The 17,235-nt window shown below is 43.3% G+C and overlaps 1 protein-coding gene and 1 long non-coding RNA gene across 8 annotated transcripts in view, besides 9 other annotated features; one reads left to right on the top strand and one right to left on the bottom strand.

Moving 5' to 3' along the window:
* The window catches only part of TAGAP-AS1 (TAGAP antisense RNA 1), a 43,184-nt gene extending 33,586 nt beyond the window's left edge, over positions 1-9,598 (bottom strand). For both annotated transcript variants that reach the window (NR_183546.1, NR_183545.1), the window contains exon 1: positions 9,079-9,598. This is a non-coding gene — a long non-coding RNA (TAGAP antisense RNA 1). The remainder of the gene's footprint in view (positions 1-9,078) is intronic.
* Positions 75-364: an enhancer, noted in NCBI's record as "active region_25380". NCBI's record gives its function as "activates an Ori minimal core promoter by ATAC-STARR-seq in GM12878 lymphoblastoid cells {active_cell/tissue: GM12878}" and the evidence as "EXISTENCE:reporter gene assay evidence [ECO:0000049][PMID:35858748]".
* Positions 8,583-9,554: an enhancer, noted in NCBI's record as "NANOG-H3K27ac-H3K4me1 hESC enhancer chr6:159420949-159421920 (GRCh37/hg19 assembly coordinates)". NCBI's record gives its function as "activates a minimal SCP1, AML or CMV promoter by ChIP-STARR-seq in primed H9 embryonic stem cells {active_cell/tissue: H9 hESC(primed)}" and the evidence as "EXISTENCE:reporter gene assay evidence [ECO:0000049][PMID:30033119]".
* Positions 8,583-9,580: a biological region, named in NCBI's record as "NANOG-H3K27ac-H3K4me1 hESC enhancer GRCh37_chr6:159420949-159421920".
* Positions 8,961-9,010: an enhancer, noted in NCBI's record as "active region_25379". NCBI's record gives its function as "activates an Ori minimal core promoter by ATAC-STARR-seq in GM12878 lymphoblastoid cells {active_cell/tissue: GM12878}" and the evidence as "EXISTENCE:reporter gene assay evidence [ECO:0000049][PMID:35858748]".
* Positions 9,269-17,235, top strand: part of RSPH3 (radial spoke head 3) — a 37,223-nt gene continuing 29,256 nt past the window's right edge. For 3 of the 6 annotated variants that reach the window (XR_001743668.3, XR_001743670.3, NM_031924.8), the window contains exons 1-2: positions 9,269-10,036; positions 15,545-15,632. Coding sequence is in view for 2 of the 6 variants with exons in the window: in NM_031924.8 (NP_114130.4) it covers positions 9,921-10,036; positions 15,545-15,632 (204 nt within the window). In the remaining 4 variants the exon portion in view is untranslated. Of the gene's footprint in view, positions 10,037-15,544; positions 15,633-17,235 lie in introns of those variants that run through there. The other 3 variants (NR_144434.1, NM_001346418.1, XM_047419393.1) reach the window with 2 other exon arrangements.
* Positions 9,421-9,580: an enhancer, noted in NCBI's record as "active region_25378". NCBI's record gives its function as "activates an Ori minimal core promoter by ATAC-STARR-seq in GM12878 lymphoblastoid cells {active_cell/tissue: GM12878}" and the evidence as "EXISTENCE:reporter gene assay evidence [ECO:0000049][PMID:35858748]".
* Positions 9,555-10,526: an enhancer, noted in NCBI's record as "NANOG-H3K27ac-H3K4me1 hESC enhancer chr6:159419977-159420948 (GRCh37/hg19 assembly coordinates)". NCBI's record gives its function as "activates a minimal SCP1, AML or CMV promoter by ChIP-STARR-seq in primed H9 embryonic stem cells {active_cell/tissue: H9 hESC(primed)}" and the evidence as "EXISTENCE:reporter gene assay evidence [ECO:0000049][PMID:30033119]".
* Positions 9,751-9,820: an enhancer, noted in NCBI's record as "active region_25377". NCBI's record gives its function as "activates an Ori minimal core promoter by ATAC-STARR-seq in GM12878 lymphoblastoid cells {active_cell/tissue: GM12878}" and the evidence as "EXISTENCE:reporter gene assay evidence [ECO:0000049][PMID:35858748]".
* Positions 9,851-9,900: an enhancer, noted in NCBI's record as "active region_25376". NCBI's record gives its function as "activates an Ori minimal core promoter by ATAC-STARR-seq in GM12878 lymphoblastoid cells {active_cell/tissue: GM12878}" and the evidence as "EXISTENCE:reporter gene assay evidence [ECO:0000049][PMID:35858748]".
* Positions 9,921-10,070: an enhancer, noted in NCBI's record as "active region_25375". NCBI's record gives its function as "activates an Ori minimal core promoter by ATAC-STARR-seq in GM12878 lymphoblastoid cells {active_cell/tissue: GM12878}" and the evidence as "EXISTENCE:reporter gene assay evidence [ECO:0000049][PMID:35858748]".

Raw genomic sequence — 17,235 nt, 5'->3', positions numbered from 1 at the left:
ATCTATCGTTTTAAAATAACAACAACAAAATAAGACAAAGAATAATTTAAATTTTGCATGAGGTCACATAGCTAGTGAGAACAAAACAGGAGATGAACTCGAAGCTTCTGACTCCAAATCCAATACTCTACACCCAGAACTCTGGTCTTCTGATTGCTAGCCCAGTGCTCCACGCACCACTTGACGGCCATGCACATTTGTTAAACATACTAGAGACTGTCTTTTGAAAGGAAACCTCTCCACCATGTAAGTAACTGCCTTCTAGTTAGCTACTTTGTTTCGCTTTTGTTTTTGTTTTTGTTTTGAGACTGGGTCTCTTTCTGTCTGTCACCCAGGCTGGAGTGCAATGGCGCAATCTTAGCTCACTGCAACCTCTGCCTCCTGGGTTCAAGGAATTCTACCGCCTCAGCCTCCCGAATAGCTGGGATTACAGGTGCCTGCCACCATGTCTGTCTAATTTTTGTACTTTTGTAGAGATGGTGTTTCACCATGTTGGCCAGGCTGGTCTTGAACTCCTGACCTCAGGTGATCTGCCTGCCTCAGCCTCCCAAAGTGCTAGGATTACAGGCATAAGTCACCGCGCCGGGCCAAGTTGGCCTACTTTGTAAATATGATTTTTAAAAATAATATTTCCCTAATACAAGGTATACCTGGGCTGCAATTATTTCGCTTACTAGAAGCTAATGAAGAATTAGTGACACCTTGTGGCAAAAGCTTATTAATTCATGTTCTACTGCTACCCATTTGCAGAGATGTCCAAAGGCTTCGTGCACTTCACTAAGAAGACAAGAGCAAAACTTTTGGAAAGAATAACCTAGGGTTGCAACTCTGCCTCTGTAACTAGATTCTCTCTTCAATCACTCTACATGGGCTTCAGTCCCCTCCTCTTCACAGAATCTGTGTGACTGTCAAGTTTACAGATGACTTCCAGGTTGGCAAACTCAATGATTACTTCTCAAGTCTCACCTTTCTCAACCTCTCAGTGGTATCTGACCAGGTTGAACACACTGTTCCTAAAACCCTTGGATTTGGCAAAATCAGTTTCCCTTCTCCTTTAAAATGTTTTAAAGCCATCTAAGTGCTCATGAGTACCAAATTTATATCTCTAGTTCCACTGAACTTCAGATTCGCATCTCTAACCTGCCAATGTGACGTATGTATTTGGATGTCCAATAGCATCTGTCCAAAACAAAACTCTTGGTCTCCTACTCTTTCCAACAATTGACTGCATCGCATAAATAACATGATCATCCTGTCAGTTTAGTAAAGCCAAAATCTTAGCAGTCATTCTGTAGTCCTCCACTACTTACTATTAGTAAGTGGCAGTGAGGAGTAGAGGAATAAAGGGACTTAGTTCGTTCTCTGAAAGCTCCCAAATGTACCTCTTCTCTCCATTTTCCCTACTATCACCCTAATTCAAGCCAGAGCCTCTCATTAACCTACTCAGCACCTTCCTAACTAGCAACTTAATCTTCACCTCTTACAATCCATTCTTCACATAGCAATCAGTGATCTTTTTAAAATATAACTCAGATGATATCCTTTCTTAAAACCCTTGAATGGCTCCCCATAATCCCAACTCCTCCTCCATTCTACAAAGCCCTCCAATTTGCCCCCAGCTTCCTCAAAATGCTCTAAAAGCTCACGTCTAACCACTCTTCCCCGTCATTCCATGTTCTAGCCACACTGGCCTTCCTTTTGCTCCTTAAACATACAAGCTTGTTCCTTCCTTAGGAACAGTGCACTAGCCACCGCCCTCTGTCTGGGCGGCTCCCCCAGAACTTCATGTGGTTCGCTGCTTCTTATGTCACAAGGTCTCTAGTTAGATGTTACCTTCTCAGGCCTTTTCTGCTACTTAACTGAAGGCAGCTACTCATGCCCCCCAACACCACCACAAAGTTTTTGTTTTGTTTTCACCAAAGCTTTTATCATTTCATGAAATTTTCTTTTTTTCTTTTTTGATTTATTTGCCTATTATCTACTTCCCTACAGTAGGACAAAAGCTTCATCTATCCGAAGCTCTTATAATACTGCTCAGTACAGGGAAGGTGCTTAGTGTCTGTCAAATAATGAACTATATTAAGTTCTCCCTTGCATTCTCTTACTGATGTGGTTTGGATCTGTGTCCCCACCCAAATCTCATGCCAAAGTATAATTCCCAATGTTGGATGTGGGCCTGGTGGGAGGTGATTGGATCATGGAGGTGTTTTTCATGAATGGTTTACTGCCATCTACTTGATACTGTCCTCAGGATAGTGAATGAGTTCTTGCGAGATCTGGGTTTTTAATTTTGTTTTGTTTTGTTTTCTTTGAAGCAGAGCCTCACTCTGTCGCCCAGGCTGGAGTGCAGTGGTATGATCTCGGTTCACTGCAACCTCTGCCTCCCAGGTTCAAGTGATTCTCCTGCTTCAGCCTCCCAAATACCTGGGATTACAGGCACACACCACCATGCCCGGCTAATTTTTGTATTTTTAGTAGAGACAGGGTTTCACCATGTTGGCCAGGCTGGTTTCGAACTCCTGACCTCAGGGGATCTTCCCGCCTCGGCCTCCCAAAGTGCTGGGATTACAGGTGTGAGCCACTGCGCCCGGCCAAGATCTGATTGTTCAAAGGCATGGAGCACCTCCCCTTCTCCCTCTTGCTCCTGCTCCTGCCATGTAAGACACCTCACTTCTCCTTTGCCTTCCACTATGACTGGGAGCTTCCTGAGGCCTCTCCAGAAACAGATGCCGCCACACTTGCTGTACAGCCCGCAGAACCATAAGCCAATTAAACAGCTTTTCTTTATAAATTACTCAGCCTCTGGTATTTCTTTATAGCAATGTGATAACAGACTAATACATTTACCTACACTTAAAAACATTTCTGAAACCATAGCCTTTCACTCACTTTTTGCACACTTAAATGGAAAATATGCTGCTGCTTCTTTTCTTGGATAAATTGTATACCCCTGCTATTCACTCATTCAAAAAACTATTATAACCAAACATTAAGTAATATGGTAGGACTACAAATACAAATGGAACATGATCCCTACCCTCAAGGAAGTCATGGCCTAGTGGAAGCAAACATGTTAGCAAATCATTATAAAAGCCATGTGGCAAGTAAAAGATGGCGTTGTGGCTGCAAACTATATGAACCCAAGTTAGAGGCATCAGAAATGGCCTCCTGGCCGGGTGCTGTGGCTCACGCCTGTAATCCCAGCACTTTGGGAGGCCGAGGCGGGTGGATCACCTGAGGTCGGGAGTTCAAGATCAGCCTGACCAACATGGAGAAATCCTGTCTCTACTAAAAATATAAAATTAGCCAGGTGTGGTGGTGCATGCCCGTAATCCCAGCTACTTGGGAGGCTGAGACAGGAGAATCGCTTGAACCTGGGAGGCAGAGGTTGCAGTGAGCCGAGATAGCACCATTGCACTCCAGCCTGGGCAACAAGAAGTGAAACTCTGTCTCAAAAAAAAAAAGAAATGCCTTCCTGGAGAAAGCAACAGGAGCTGAGGTTTAAAAGAGGAGTAGAAAAAAAATCCAGGAAAAGAGACAAGGAAAAATCATAAAGCACAAACACAGCGTGGAAACATGATAGTTCATGCAGTGGGACTGCAAGCGCTCAGCTCTGCTGAGAAAAAAAGTACAAGACAGAAATCAGTGAGATGTGAAATTCGAAAAATACGCAGTAACCGGGTAGTGGCAGGCTTATAGCATAGTTTAAGAAACTTGAACTCATTAGGCAGTGGGTTATGGAGCAAGCATGATCAAGGATCACATTCTGTTCGATTATTGTTTGGTTCCATAGACGATTTAATTTAGACTACATGAGGTCAGAATGATGAGGTCAAAGGCTGGTAGGAATAGGAAGGATACAAAAAAGAGGATCCAGAAGCAAGAAACACTGAGGAAGTAAAATGGACAGGACTTAGTGATTATTGGGATATGGAGAATGAGGGGAGGGGGAACAAGCAAAAGGGGCAAGAAATGGGGGATCTGGGAGTGGGAGGACAATGAACATCATAAGCTGATGCTTTCTTGCTTAAGTTCTAGAGTCCAGCAGTCAAGGGCTTAAGTCTTGGTCCTGTCACTTGCTTGCTATATGACTTTGGTAAGTCATTTTAACTTCTCTAAATTTCAGTTCCTTGCAAATTAAATGGGAATAATATCAGAATCTACCTCATTGTTAGACTGGGATTGTTATAATAACTAAATGAAATCAGGTATGTAAACTGCTTAGCTTACTGCCTGCCATACATCAGAAACATCTATTGATTAAAGAATTTTAAAATGATTATCTGACTATGTCTGTGGTCATAGATCTACCTTTTCTCTTCTTACTATAGACGAATTGTCCATGTTTCTAGGCAAGGCCAATCCCTCAACTTATGCACAAAAGCCTATTCCTTTTTGCCAACATCATTCCACCAATTCTTCCCTCCGTCCCACACCATCCATTCCACCCTCTCTCCTGAATCACTTCTAGAAGCACATACACATACGGTCAATTCTACCATTAAAAAATATTGAACCTTTTCTTGACTCAATTTCCCTTTAACTACCAGCCCATTTGTTTTTTCTTTCCTTGAGTCATAAATCGCTCTTCTGTCACTCTCTTCAGGATCCATTATAACTGAACTTTCTCTTCTACAACTTCATGAAAGTTGCCTTTTTTCAGATCACCAGAGACCTCTATGCTGCTAGATCCAATGTTCTTATCTTGCTTAGCACATGTATAGCATTAGATACAGCTGATTACTTTCTCCTTGAAACACTTTCATTACTTAACTCCCAGGTGACCAGGCTTTCCGCATTTTCTACCATTTTGTTGGCCCTCTTTTGCAGTCTCCTTTGCTGATTATTCCTCATCTTTCCAAACTCTAAATATTGGAACACTCAAGGCCTTATCTCTCTACACTCCCTTGGTAATCTTATCAAGTCTCATGGCTGTTGATTCAAAAATCCACTTCTGTAGCCCAGACCAATCTCCTGAAACTCTAGACTCCCATGTCCAACTGTCTACTCAACATCTCCACTTGGATGACTAACATGCCTTCCAAGCTTGATGTGCCCCAGACCAAGCTGCTAATGCTCACTCCAATAATGGATCCTCCCCAGCGTTCCCTCTATCACTAAATGGCAACTCCATTCTTCCAGATACTCTAGTCAACAACTTTATCATGGCCTCTAGCTGTAATTGAATAGTTTAAATTAAACCAGTCCTCTCATGGGAATAAGCACAAGAGCTGAACATTTAAAAAAGCACACATAACAAAAACTACACAGGCTGTTTGAAGACACTGGAGAGCAACCAAGATGGTCAAGACATGAGAGACTGGGATCCCAGAAGACAGATGCATAAAGTGATACAGAACTTCTCCATTGCTTTTTCTGATTGGGTCATTTGCTGAGTTTTGTGCAGGGCATTTATGGCGAGCAGAAAGCAGTGACCTGGAGGTATCAGGGCCCTTTCAGATACGGGGAGATAAAAAATTGGAGTTGAAAACTGCGGATAGGACTTGAAGGGACAGATCCCAAAGAAAGGAGGATCATAGAGAAGCCAGTCTGACATTTAGTTTGGCTTTTATCCTTGAGGCATTTGCTGAATTCTAAGCTGTAAGGGCACTGGAAATCAAGAAACCAAACAGTTGCTAAATAGCTAAAATGCTAAGTGTACATTTCAACAGTCTCACAGAGCTGGGAGTACAAAAATTGGAGTTCAAGGTCACCCAAAGATGGGGACCTGTTAAATACCACAGATGTTCATGTTGAGAAAGAATAGAAAGGCCTAGCTCTGGGATAAGGCCAAACTAGAAAATGATCAGCCCTCACAAAGTCTGAATCCCTAATTAAAGGTCATCTGAGGCCAGGCGCAGGGGCTCACACCTGTAATCCCAGTACTTTAGGAGGCCAATGCAGGTGGATCACTTGAGGTCAGGAGTTCGAGACCAGCCTGATCAACATGGTGAAACCCAGTCTCTACTAAAAAAATACAAAATTGGCCGGGCATGGTGGTGCACACCTGTAATCCCAGCTACCTGGGAGGTGAGACAGGAGAATTGCTTGAACCCGGGAGGTGGAGGCCACAGTGAGCCAAGACAGTGCCATTGTACTCCAGCCTGGGCAACAAGAGCAAAACTCCGCCTCAAAAAAAAAAAAAAAAAAAGTCATCCGTTCCTACTCTAATTGCTTGCCAGAATAAAATTAAATCCTTTCTGGAGAAACACAACATCAGCCACAGTCTCTATGCAATTTATTTATTTATTTTTTATTTATTTATTTAGTTTTTTTTTTTTTGCCAGAGCCTCTATGTGATTTTTTTCCTACACAATGTCTAACATTTAATCAGAAACCTTAGGTTCATCTCTTTTGCCTTTCTTTCTCTCGTGCACCACGTCACGTCCAATCTGTTCTACCTTCAAAATTGAGCTGGGATCTTCCCACCACTTTTGTCCCAGATCCAGAACCAAGCTCCACTGAAAGCAAGGCAGTCTGTCCCCCGACATGGCCTCGGCACTGACTCACTGCATCTCTCGGGCCCGAGCACCACACCTACACCAGATCCAAGCCACCCTCTCACCAGCCTTATTGGGAGCAGCTTCCTATCTGGTCTCTCTGCTTCTGCCTTTGCCCCACTTCAGTCTATTCTCAACCAAACAACTAGAAAAAACAAATTTTTTTAATCAAACTATGTCAAGCTTCTACTCAAAACCCTTTAGGGACTTTTAACCCTAGAGTAAAACCTAAAGTCCTTTCACTGACCTACAACAGGGCGCACGGCCCAGCCTCTGACTTCATCTCCGAATGCTCCTCCTTGTGCTCACTCTGCTCCACTCACTCTTACTGCCATCCCCAACACGACTTCCTGCCTTAGAACGAGGAATTGGCTGCTTCCTTGACCTGGAATGCTGTGACAATTAGTCACAAGTCTCAAGTTTCATTTCTTCACCTCCTTCAAGTCTTTACTCAAATGTCACCTTCTCAATGAAGCCTTCTCTGACCACTATAAAATTGATAGGTCTCCCATGCCCCTAGCACCTAGCCTTATTTCCTGCTTTATTTCGAATTAGCTATTATAATTATGTAACACCCATAATGTACTCACTTTTCTTGTTTGTATGACTCCTCCACTAGAATATAAATTCTGTCAAGGCAGGACTTTTAATCTGTTGTTTGTTTTTGTTTTTCACTGCTATATCCCCACTAACACCAGGGGAGTGGGGACGAGGGACAAGAAAACAACAATGCTTGGCACATACTAGATACACATAACTATTTGTGGAATGAATCTTTCAGTTTCAGATCATCCAAGAGTTGTCCACAAAATAGTCAGATATCCAGGACTGTCACCTGAGGGAGAAGTCTAGGTTAGAGATACATCCTTTGCTACCCTGAGTATATAGGTGGTACTAGAAATTACAGACGTGAAATGGGACTGCCCTGGGAGAAAGTACAAGAAGAGAAACAGGCTGTGGATAAAAACTTGTACAGGCCAGGCACAGTGGCTCACGCCTGTAATCCCAACACTTTGGGAGGCTGAGGAGGGCGGATCACCAGGTCAAGAGAACAAGACCATCCTGGCCAACATGGTGAAACCCCGCCTCTACTAAAAATACAGAAATTAGCTGGACGGGGTGGCACACGCCTGTAGTCCCAGCTACTCAGGAGGCTGAGGCAGGAGAACCACTTGAACCGGGGAGGCGGAGGTTGCAGTGAGCCAAGATCGCGCCACTGCACTCCAGCCTGGCCACAGAGCGAGACTCCATCTAAAAAAAAAAAAAAAGAAAGAAACTTGTACAAGAACCTATAGTGGCTATCAATTTCTTTATAAAGCCCACTGTGGCTGGTATAGCACTATTGTTTACCCACTTAATACCCACTCAATTCTGCCCCAACATCCTCCTAACAGAATTTGTTCTCCTCCTCCCTGGCCAAGTGTTTCTTGGAGGCCTAGAAAGACCGGTTACCTGGTCTAATCCAAATATGGTGGTCTTATATAGATCCTAAGCTTAAATCAATATGATGTAATTCTGGTCAGTTGGGAGTTTACGAGGGGGTTTTGCTCTTCCAATAAAGACAAAAGAGCAGATACTTCTATTACTACTTTGTTGAAGCCAACAACCCAGGTGACAGAGTGGAAAGGTAGGGGAAAAAACGTGTTGTTGATAATGTGCTGAGCCCCCAAGTTACCCTCCAGGTTAACCAACCTGGGGAGTGTAAAATAATGAATTCCTTATTATTTCAGCCACTTGGAATTGGTTTTTTGTTACTTGAGGGAAAAAATATTCTAATTAATATGCTAGTGTTTACTGTTTCCACGATGTGGTGTCAGCCTGTCTATATATATTTCTACAACTCATCTACACAAACCTTGCTTACAGTTTTCCAAATGCACCTTGGGCTTCTTGAGCCTTTGATCAAGCCATTCCGAATGCACTTCCCCCAAGAGGCTGGCCAGTTAAAATACTATCATTTATCAAACACAACTTAAATGTCACTTTCTCCTCTAGCCCTTTCAGAAATTACCTCAAAATTAAATGATCAGACCTAAAATATGTTGGGAGTGTTTTCACCTCTAGAATTTACCATACACCTTTATGCTAGTGTTACTTATAGAATGCCTACATCTGCTTTAGGTCATACACTTCAAAGCACAGAACGGTCCAGATCTTAATATAAAGGCTTGCCATTTACCAGGCACAGCTCTAAGTATTAACGGTTTTAATCCTCAAGACAAAACCTAAAGAGATAAATTCTTCTATTGCCACTTTGTGGATTAGGAAAATGAAGCACAAAAACATTTAACTTGCCTGAGGTTTCGGAGCTAGTACATTCTAGAACCTGGATTCAAATCAAGACAGCAATTAGCTGAATGAAGGTGTAACTGCAAATGCAAATAACTGATCACAAGGGATACACATTCACTCATACAAGATAGAAGATTTTTAACGTTGCTGGTACTAAAACCAAAGCGTCTGCGTTTTTAAGCGCAGCCCCACCCCGCAATACTAGAGACATTCTTTAGAGCTGGAAGCCTGATAGATTAAGGGGAACTATGCCTTTGTATTTTTTAAGACTCAATAAATTGCTCACTTCTTTCCCAAAATGAGGTGTCTGTGGGGGAGGCCCCTGTCGCTCCGTGTGCCAAGGGTCCTCCGATTGCTAGCACACAGCGGTGAGCAGAGAAGGTAGGTGAGGAACTGCACTGACTCAGCTGCAGAGGGCGGCGGCAGCCCGCCCCTGGGGCGGGAGAAGGGCAGGAGCCGGGAGACACCAGGAAGCTCTTCCCCGCCCGGGCACGTAACAGAGCTGGGAGCCTGGCTGCCAGGGGCGTGTTATCGCGGGGGCAGCCTGGGAGCGCTGCTGCGCCGCGGCAGGAGAAACAGCCGAGGACACCCTGGAAGAGCAGGAGCACGTGGGCCTGCGAGAATGGCGCCAACACCAGCCCTGCAAAGCCACATTCCAAAGCCGGGCCAAGGACAGCCACCGTTGCCCCGCAGGCCTCAAGGATGACGGTCAAGCCAGCCAAGGCCGCCTCCCTAGCCAGGAACCTCGCAAAGCGCAGGCGCACCTACCTGGGTGGCGCGGCTGGGCGGAGTCAAGAGCCGGAAGTCCCTTGTGCCGCAGTCCTTCCCGGGAAACCTGGGGACCGGAACTGCCCGGAGTTCCCGCCCCCAGACAGAACCCTGGGTTGCTGGGCAACCGATGCGGCCCCCGCAGCTGGTCTCTGTGGTGCTGGGAGCGAGCCCAGTATAGCTCCCACCTCCTGCGCTGGTAACCTCCCGTCCCGCCCGCCTCCCTTGTTGTCGCCTCTCCTCGCGTCGCGGAATCCTTGCCCTTGGCACTACTTACATCTCTCCGGGTCCCACAACACCTTAGCGCCCACCTGCTTCAAAGCCAAGCTCCACCGAAAGCGAGGCAGTCAGCCCCCGGACATGGCCTCAGCGCTGACTGATCGCACCTCTCGGGCCCCGAGCACCTACACCTACACCAGCCGGCCCCGAGCACTGCCCTGCCAGCGCAGCCGTTACCGGGACAGCCTGACGCAGCCGTGAGTGACCAAGCCAGCCCCTGTGTGGTCCATACTTGCACCCCATCCCCAGGCCGGGGTCTGGCCCCTTCGCCCTGGCAAAAAAGCTGCTTATGCTGTCTTCCCTTGGCTGCACTCTGCCGAAATAAAAGTTCTGCCCTAAGGAATCTCCCGTGGTGTGGAGGAGTGAAGCAGGAAGGGGCATGGGTTGGGCATCAGTTAACTTTTAGTGATATGAGTTGCTGCCGTGGTCCTTAACATGTACACGAATTGGCTCATTTCACAAAGTTTGAATTGTACCAGTGTGTATTGAGGGCCAACTACGTGCTGAGCACCTTACGGGGGGCATTCAAATACGTTTTCTTAGTTAATCCACAGTGCTGTGAAGTTGATTTTATAACTCCATTATGCAGATGAGGAGACCGCGGTGCAAAGATATCCAACAGTAGCATATCCAAAATGGGAGCCGAGTAAATCTCTTCGGCAGGCTTTGAGCAGGAGTAAGATTATTCTTCCATGCAGGACCACAGATTGGTTTTTTGTGGTGGTGGTGGTGGTGGTGGTGGTGGTTGCTGTTGTTGTTTTGAGACGGAGTTTCGCTCTTGTCGCCCAGGCTGGACTGCAATGACGCGATCTCCGCTCACTGCAACCTCCGCCCCCCTCCCCCACTCCTCCCCGATCAAACGATTCTCCTGCCTCAGCCTCCCAAGTAGCTGGGACTAGAGGCGCCCTCCACCACCCCCGGCTAATCTTTGTATTTTTAGTAGAGACAGGGTTTTGCCACGTTGGCCAGGCTGGTCTCAAACTCTTGGCCTCAAGTGATCCGCCCGCCTCGGCCTCCCAAAGTGCTGGGATTACAAGCGTGAGCCACCGCGCCCGGACGGCAGTTTGTGTTTTTACATCCATGAACAGTTGCAAATATTCAAACATACATAGGAAAGAAAAAAAACAAAACATAAGCCTTTTTTTTTTTCTTTTTTTTTTTTTGAGACGGAGTCTCGCTCTGTCGCCCAGGCTGGAGTGCAGTGGCACAATCTCGGCTCACTGCAACCTCCACCTCCCGGGTTCACGCCATTCTCCTGCCTCAGCCTCCCAAGTAGCTGGGACTACAGGCGCCCGCCACCACGCCCGGCTCTTTTTTTTTTTTTTTTTTTTTTTGTATTTTTTTAGTAGAGACGGGGTTTCACCATGTTAGCCAGGATACTCTCGATCTCCTGACCTCATGATCCGCCCGCCTCGGCCTCCCAAAATGCTGGGATTACAGGCCTGAGCCACCACACCCAGCAAAAAAAACATAAACTCTTAAAGTTCTCTTAAAGTTAAACGGTTCTCTAAAGTTCTTTCCATAAGCCTCAAATGTTGAATTCAGCAGAACTTTATAGGAATGCAAGCTCCATGGATGCAGGAACTTTTGCATCTTTTGTTCACCTAGTACAATGCCTGGTACATAGTAAGCACTTAATACGAATTGTCAAACTGATGATTGAACATCAACAATGTAATTATTGATGCTTATTTCAAACGCTCTTTCTAAATTCATAATTATCTTGTTCTAACAAATTCTTTTTCTATAAGAGATGTCTATCACTGTAAGAAAACTAAAATAGAAAATTTAAATTTGAAGAGTGATCATTTATATTAGAAAAGGATTCAATTTTAAAATTTTCTAATCCTTCCAAAAACACTTTCTGGTGCCTTTAAGTGGTTGCTTACAAATCATTACTATCCAATCAGACCAACAGATTAGAAACAAGAATCAATGGTGGTTCATTAGGAACAACTTTTTTGATAGTTGATTAGTATATTGAAGTAATCTATTGATTAGTTTATTAGTATATCTGAGTAATGCACAAGACAGAAAAATCTCAATTTTGAGGAAGTATTATCTTACAAATCATAATCATTGATATCCTAATGGATAAAATACTGATATTTTATCCATAATTTGCTTATGGATAAGGATAATATTCTCCTCTGATATCCTTATGAATAAAATATTTTTTAAGTGTTCAGGAGAGTAGCCGGGCATGGTGGCATGTACCTGTAATCCCAGGTACTTGGGAGGCTGACGCAGGAGGATCACTTAAACCCAGAAGGCGGAGGTTGCAGTGAGCCAAGATCACGCCACTGCACTCCAGCCTGGGCGACAAAGCGAAACTCTGTCTCAAAAAAAAAAAAAAAAAAGTGTTCAGGAGAGTACTTGTCTTAATCCATCTTATGTTGCTCTAACAGAGTATCTGAAACTGGATAGTCTATAAAGAGATCTATTTAGCTCACAGCTCTGCAGACTGAGAAGTACAAGAGCATGGTGCTGGCATCTGCTTGCCTTCTAGTGAGGGCTTTTCTTGTTGTTTCATAACATGATGGAGAAGGTCAAAGGGGAAGCAGATCCGTGGGAAGTGGCCAAACAGGAGGAAGTACCTCATTTTGTAGCAACTTGCTGTCTCTGGAACTAGTCCTGTGAGAACTTAATCCAGTCTCTTGAGAGTAAGAGTTCCCTCACTACTGCGAGAACTGGTGCCAAGCCATTCATGAGGGATCCACCCATGTTCCAAACACCTCCCACTAGGCCCCACTTCCCAACACTGCCATATTGGAAATTAAATTTCCATGTGAGTTTTAGTGGAGACGACAAACCATATCCAGACCACAGCAGTACTTTTAGTACTTGCTGGTGAGTAACTAAATGACCATATCCAAAAAGAGTATGCTTTTGTGTCAATCTGTCTCTATCCTAGAATGTCGTTTAGTTCTTTCATGTTCAAAATTTTATGTTGAACTGGATAAATCTTCAGTTTTTCAGATGACACATGGCTGGAATGGATAACTAACTTATGACTGAAGGGAGTCAAGGTTCTAAATTATCTTGATTGGGTATATATAACTGGGCTGAAACCAAAAAATGAAACTTAATTGGAAAGCTGTGAAGTTTTACTTAGGTATGAGAAGTCAGTTACACAAATACAGAAATGGGAGTATCTGATTTTTCCTTTGAAAGGGTCTAGAAATTTAACACAAGTCTAATGTGAATCAAGAACTTCCACCTTTTCATAGGATTATAAAGCTGAAAGAGAACATTTGAATACTAGTCTTCTCATTTACAAACAAGAGAATGTAATACATCTTTTATGTATTTCTTGGTAGTTGGGTGATCATAAATGCCATTAAATTCACCTTTAGGCATGTGTGAAAAGACAATTGTGATAATGACATTCCCTCATTTTACAAATCCTTTGGTAAAGGATATATAACCCTTCCAATAAAATAACATTTTTAATGCAAATGAATTAAAACCTTAGAACATACCTTTTTTTTATTTTTATTTTTACTCAGGTCAAATAAGGTTTAAAATCACCGTAGAGGGCAGAATAATGATTCCCCAAAGATGTCCTCTTCCTAGTCCCCAGAACCTGTGAACATGTTATGTGGTAAAAGGGACTTTGAGATGTGATTACATTAAGGATCTTGAGATGGGAGATCTTGAGATGGGAAATTAGCCTGGCTTATCCAGGTGGGCCCAGTAGAATCACAGTGGGGCCTTAAAAGTAAAAGAAGAAGGATGGGCACGGTGGCTCACGCCTGTAATCCCGGTACTTTGGGAGGCTAAGGTGGGCGGATCACGAGGTCAGGAGATCCAGACCATCCTGGCTAACACGGTGAAACCCCGTCTCTACTAAAAAAATACAAAAAAAAATGAGCCGGGCGTGGTGGCGGGCGCCTGTAGTCCCAGCTACTCGGGAGGCTGAGGCAGGAGAATGGCATGAACCCAGGAGGCGGAGCTTGCAGTGAGCCAAGATTGCACCTCTGCAGTCCAGCCTGGGTGACAGAGTGAGACTCTGTCTCAAAAAAAATAAAAATAAAATAAAGTGAAAGAAGAAGGCACAGGAGTCTGAGTCATAGAAGGAGATGTGTCATTAGAAGCAAAGGTCAGAATCACACAAATGCTGACTGGAAGGCGACCACAAGCCACGGAATGAGGGCAGTCTCTAGAGGCTGGAAAAGGCAAAGAAACATTCTCCCCAGGACCTCCAGGAGGAGTGCAGTCCTGTTGACACCCATTTTGGACATCTAAATTGCAGAATTCTGAGAATAAATGCGTTATTTTAAGCCAACTATGTAGTTAGTAGTACCATTTAATGAAATAGGAAACACTGAAGAAGTAATGAGTTGGAATGGGAGAGTGATAATTAGTTCAATTCTGAGGTTGCCTTCCAGGTAACATAGTGAGATGTCATTGGGTAACTGGATATGCCTAGAGTTGAGAGAAGAGTTCTCAGCTAAAAATAAAAATTGAGAGTTTTGGGTATATGGATTATAATTGAGGTCTTGAAGATGGATGAGGTCAACTAAGGATAAGAGAAGGCTGAGCCCGGAGGAAATCCTCCAGTATGGGAGGAACTGCAAACAAAGGCTAAGAAAAAGGTGTTAGAGAAGTAGTAGAAAAACAATCAGAAGATTATAGTGGTAACACAGAGGCCTAGGAAAGAGAATGCTTCAGTGAAGGAGTGGCCAGCTGGGCTTAACACTGCCCAGAGATCAATTAATACAAGAAATGAAACTTGTTAGAATGTTCAATAGTGGCTTCAATATATGAAAAAAAAGCAACTTATACCCCACTCAGAATCATTTCCCATAGAGTACTGTTATTGGTGTAGGGCAATGTTTAGTGTCTTAGCTATAAGCAATATATAATTGAAATAACTTTGAATGGAAATATCAACTGTGTTTTTGTATTTTTTACTAGCAATCATTCAATCACTGAAATTAATATTTTATTTTATTTCTTATTTATTTATTTATTTTTTGAGACAAAGTCTTTCTCTGTCTCCTAGGCTGGAGTTCAGTAGCCCAATCTCAGCTCACAGCAACCTCTGCCTCCTGGGCTGAAACCATTATCATGCCTCAGGCTCCAGAGCAGCTGGGATTACAGGTGCAGGCCACCAGGCCTGGCTAATTTTGTATTTTTAGTAGAGACAGCGTTTCACCATGTTGGCCAGGCTGGAAAATAGTATTAACATTTTCAACAATAACTTTAAAAAATATATTTGGGTTTAAAGAACAATGAGAAAATTGACTTAATTTTTAAGCCTCATTTTTTTATTAGTGTAACTTTTCAATCTTTGAATCAAGCTTTTTTCAGTACTTTAAAGAAGGCTCCTTTTCAAATGGGACATTTTCATATTTCCTAAAGTCATACAGATTTACAACCTAAATCTAGTCCTGCCACTTACTAGCAAGGTGACCTTTGGCAGATTCCTGAGTCTGTTTCCCCTTCTGAAAAAGGAATCATAATTCCCAACTTGCAGCTTATTGTGAATAATAAATAAAATAATGTACATGAAGGACCTGGCATATAGTAAGCATTACATAAATTGTATCCATTTACCTCCTTATTTTATGGACCACACTAAAACAGAAATTTATTTTCTTAAAATATATTGATTTTAGTCTAAATCCTATTGAAAATGAGTTACTTCATAGATACCAATACTCTATTAAAGTGGTTATACAGAATTTTCTGTTTTACAGAGATGAAGAACCTATGCATTATGGAAACATAATGTATGACAGAAGGGTAATTCGAGGTAACACTTATGCACTCCAGACAGGGCCACTGGTAAGTTCAGTTTGAATAGTCTAACACCGTGTTCTCACATTATCTATGGGGAAGGATCAGTTTCTTGGTGTTAATTTCTAATCCGTTGCAGACTAAAACATTCATAAAATAAAGATGAATTACTATAAAAATGAAATTTTTAAAAAGACATACAAATAGAAGCCCAGTGACAGTTTCCAGGAGCTGGGGGATGAGGGGACCAGGGAGGGAGTTATTGTTTAATGAGTGTAGAGTTTCAGTTTTGCAAGGTGAAAAGAGTTCCGGAGATAGAGGATGGTGACAGTGATAGAACAATGTGAATGTAATTAATACCACTGAATTTTATACTTAAAAATGGTTAAGGTGATAAATTTTACATTATGTGTGTTTTACCACAAAAAAAGAATTAGCTAAAAAAAAAAAAAAAAAAAGCAAGCCCCAGTTGGCCGGGCGCGGTGGCTCACGCCTGTAATCCCAGCACTTTGGGAGGCCAAGGCGGGCAGCTCACGAGGTCAGGAGATCAAGACCATTCTGGCCAACATGGTGAAACCCCGTCTCTACTAAAAGTACAAAAATTAGCTGGGTGTGGTGGCGCTCGCCTGTAGTCCCAGCTACCCGGGAGGCTGAGGCAGGAGAATTGCTTGAACCCAGGAGGCAGAAGTTGCAGTGAGCCGAGATCGCACCACTGCACTCCAGTCTGGCGACAGAGTGAGACTACATCTCAAAAAAAAAAGCCCCAATTTTTCATTCGATTCAACAGAACTCTGCCATTCTAAACATTTCTAAACCTTTACTCTCAATTTCTGTACTTAAATTGTTACAGACCAGTTCAAATAGTTTATAGACACTAGCCAGAGGCCCACATTTTGAGTGGCACTTGTCTATTGCATCTAGATTTGTTTAGATTATCTCATACTCTAATACAATTATCATTATTTAATCAAAAAGTCTGAATTCTGCTTCTTTAATTCACTCAACAAATATTTATTGAGTTTTAGGTCCTGTTCTGGGTACCTAGGATACAGAGATGAGTAAGACATGGTATGATATTAAGGGTGGTGAGTTCTTGGCACAGAAATGAAATACAGATGAATCCATAAACAGTATATGACATGTAAGTGCCTAATACAAGATGGTGATAGAGATGCTCCTCCACTTAGGATGAGGTTACGTCCCAATAAACCCACTGAACACTGAAAATGAATTTAAAACACCAAACCTGCCGAACACCATAACATAGCATAGCCTACCTTAAATATGCTCAGAGGCCAGGCGTGGTGGCTCACGCCTGTAATCCTAGCAGTTTGGGAGGCCAAGGTGGGCAGATCACTTGAGCCCAGGCGCTTGAGACCAGCCTGGGCAATGTGGGTAACCCTGTCTCTACAAAAAAAAAAAAAAAAAACCCCACAAAAATTAGCTGGGCATGGTGGCACGCCCCTGTAGTCCCAGCTACTTGGGAGGCTGAGGCAGAAGGATTGATTGAGCCCAGGAGGACAAGGCTGCAGTGAGCTGTGATCACACCACTGCACTCCAGCCTGGGTGACAGAGGGAAACCCTGTCTCAAAAAACAAAAACAAAAATACAACCTAGAAGGTTAAGGAATTGAGGGAAGCTCAGTGTGCCC

The sequence above is a fragment of the Homo sapiens genome, chromosome 6 (assembly GCF_000001405.40).
Source record: "Homo sapiens chromosome 6, GRCh38.p14 Primary Assembly".
NCBI classification, from domain to species: domain Eukaryota; kingdom Metazoa; phylum Chordata; class Mammalia; order Primates; family Hominidae; genus Homo; species Homo sapiens.
This window is presented reverse-complemented; position numbering and strand designations above follow the sequence as displayed.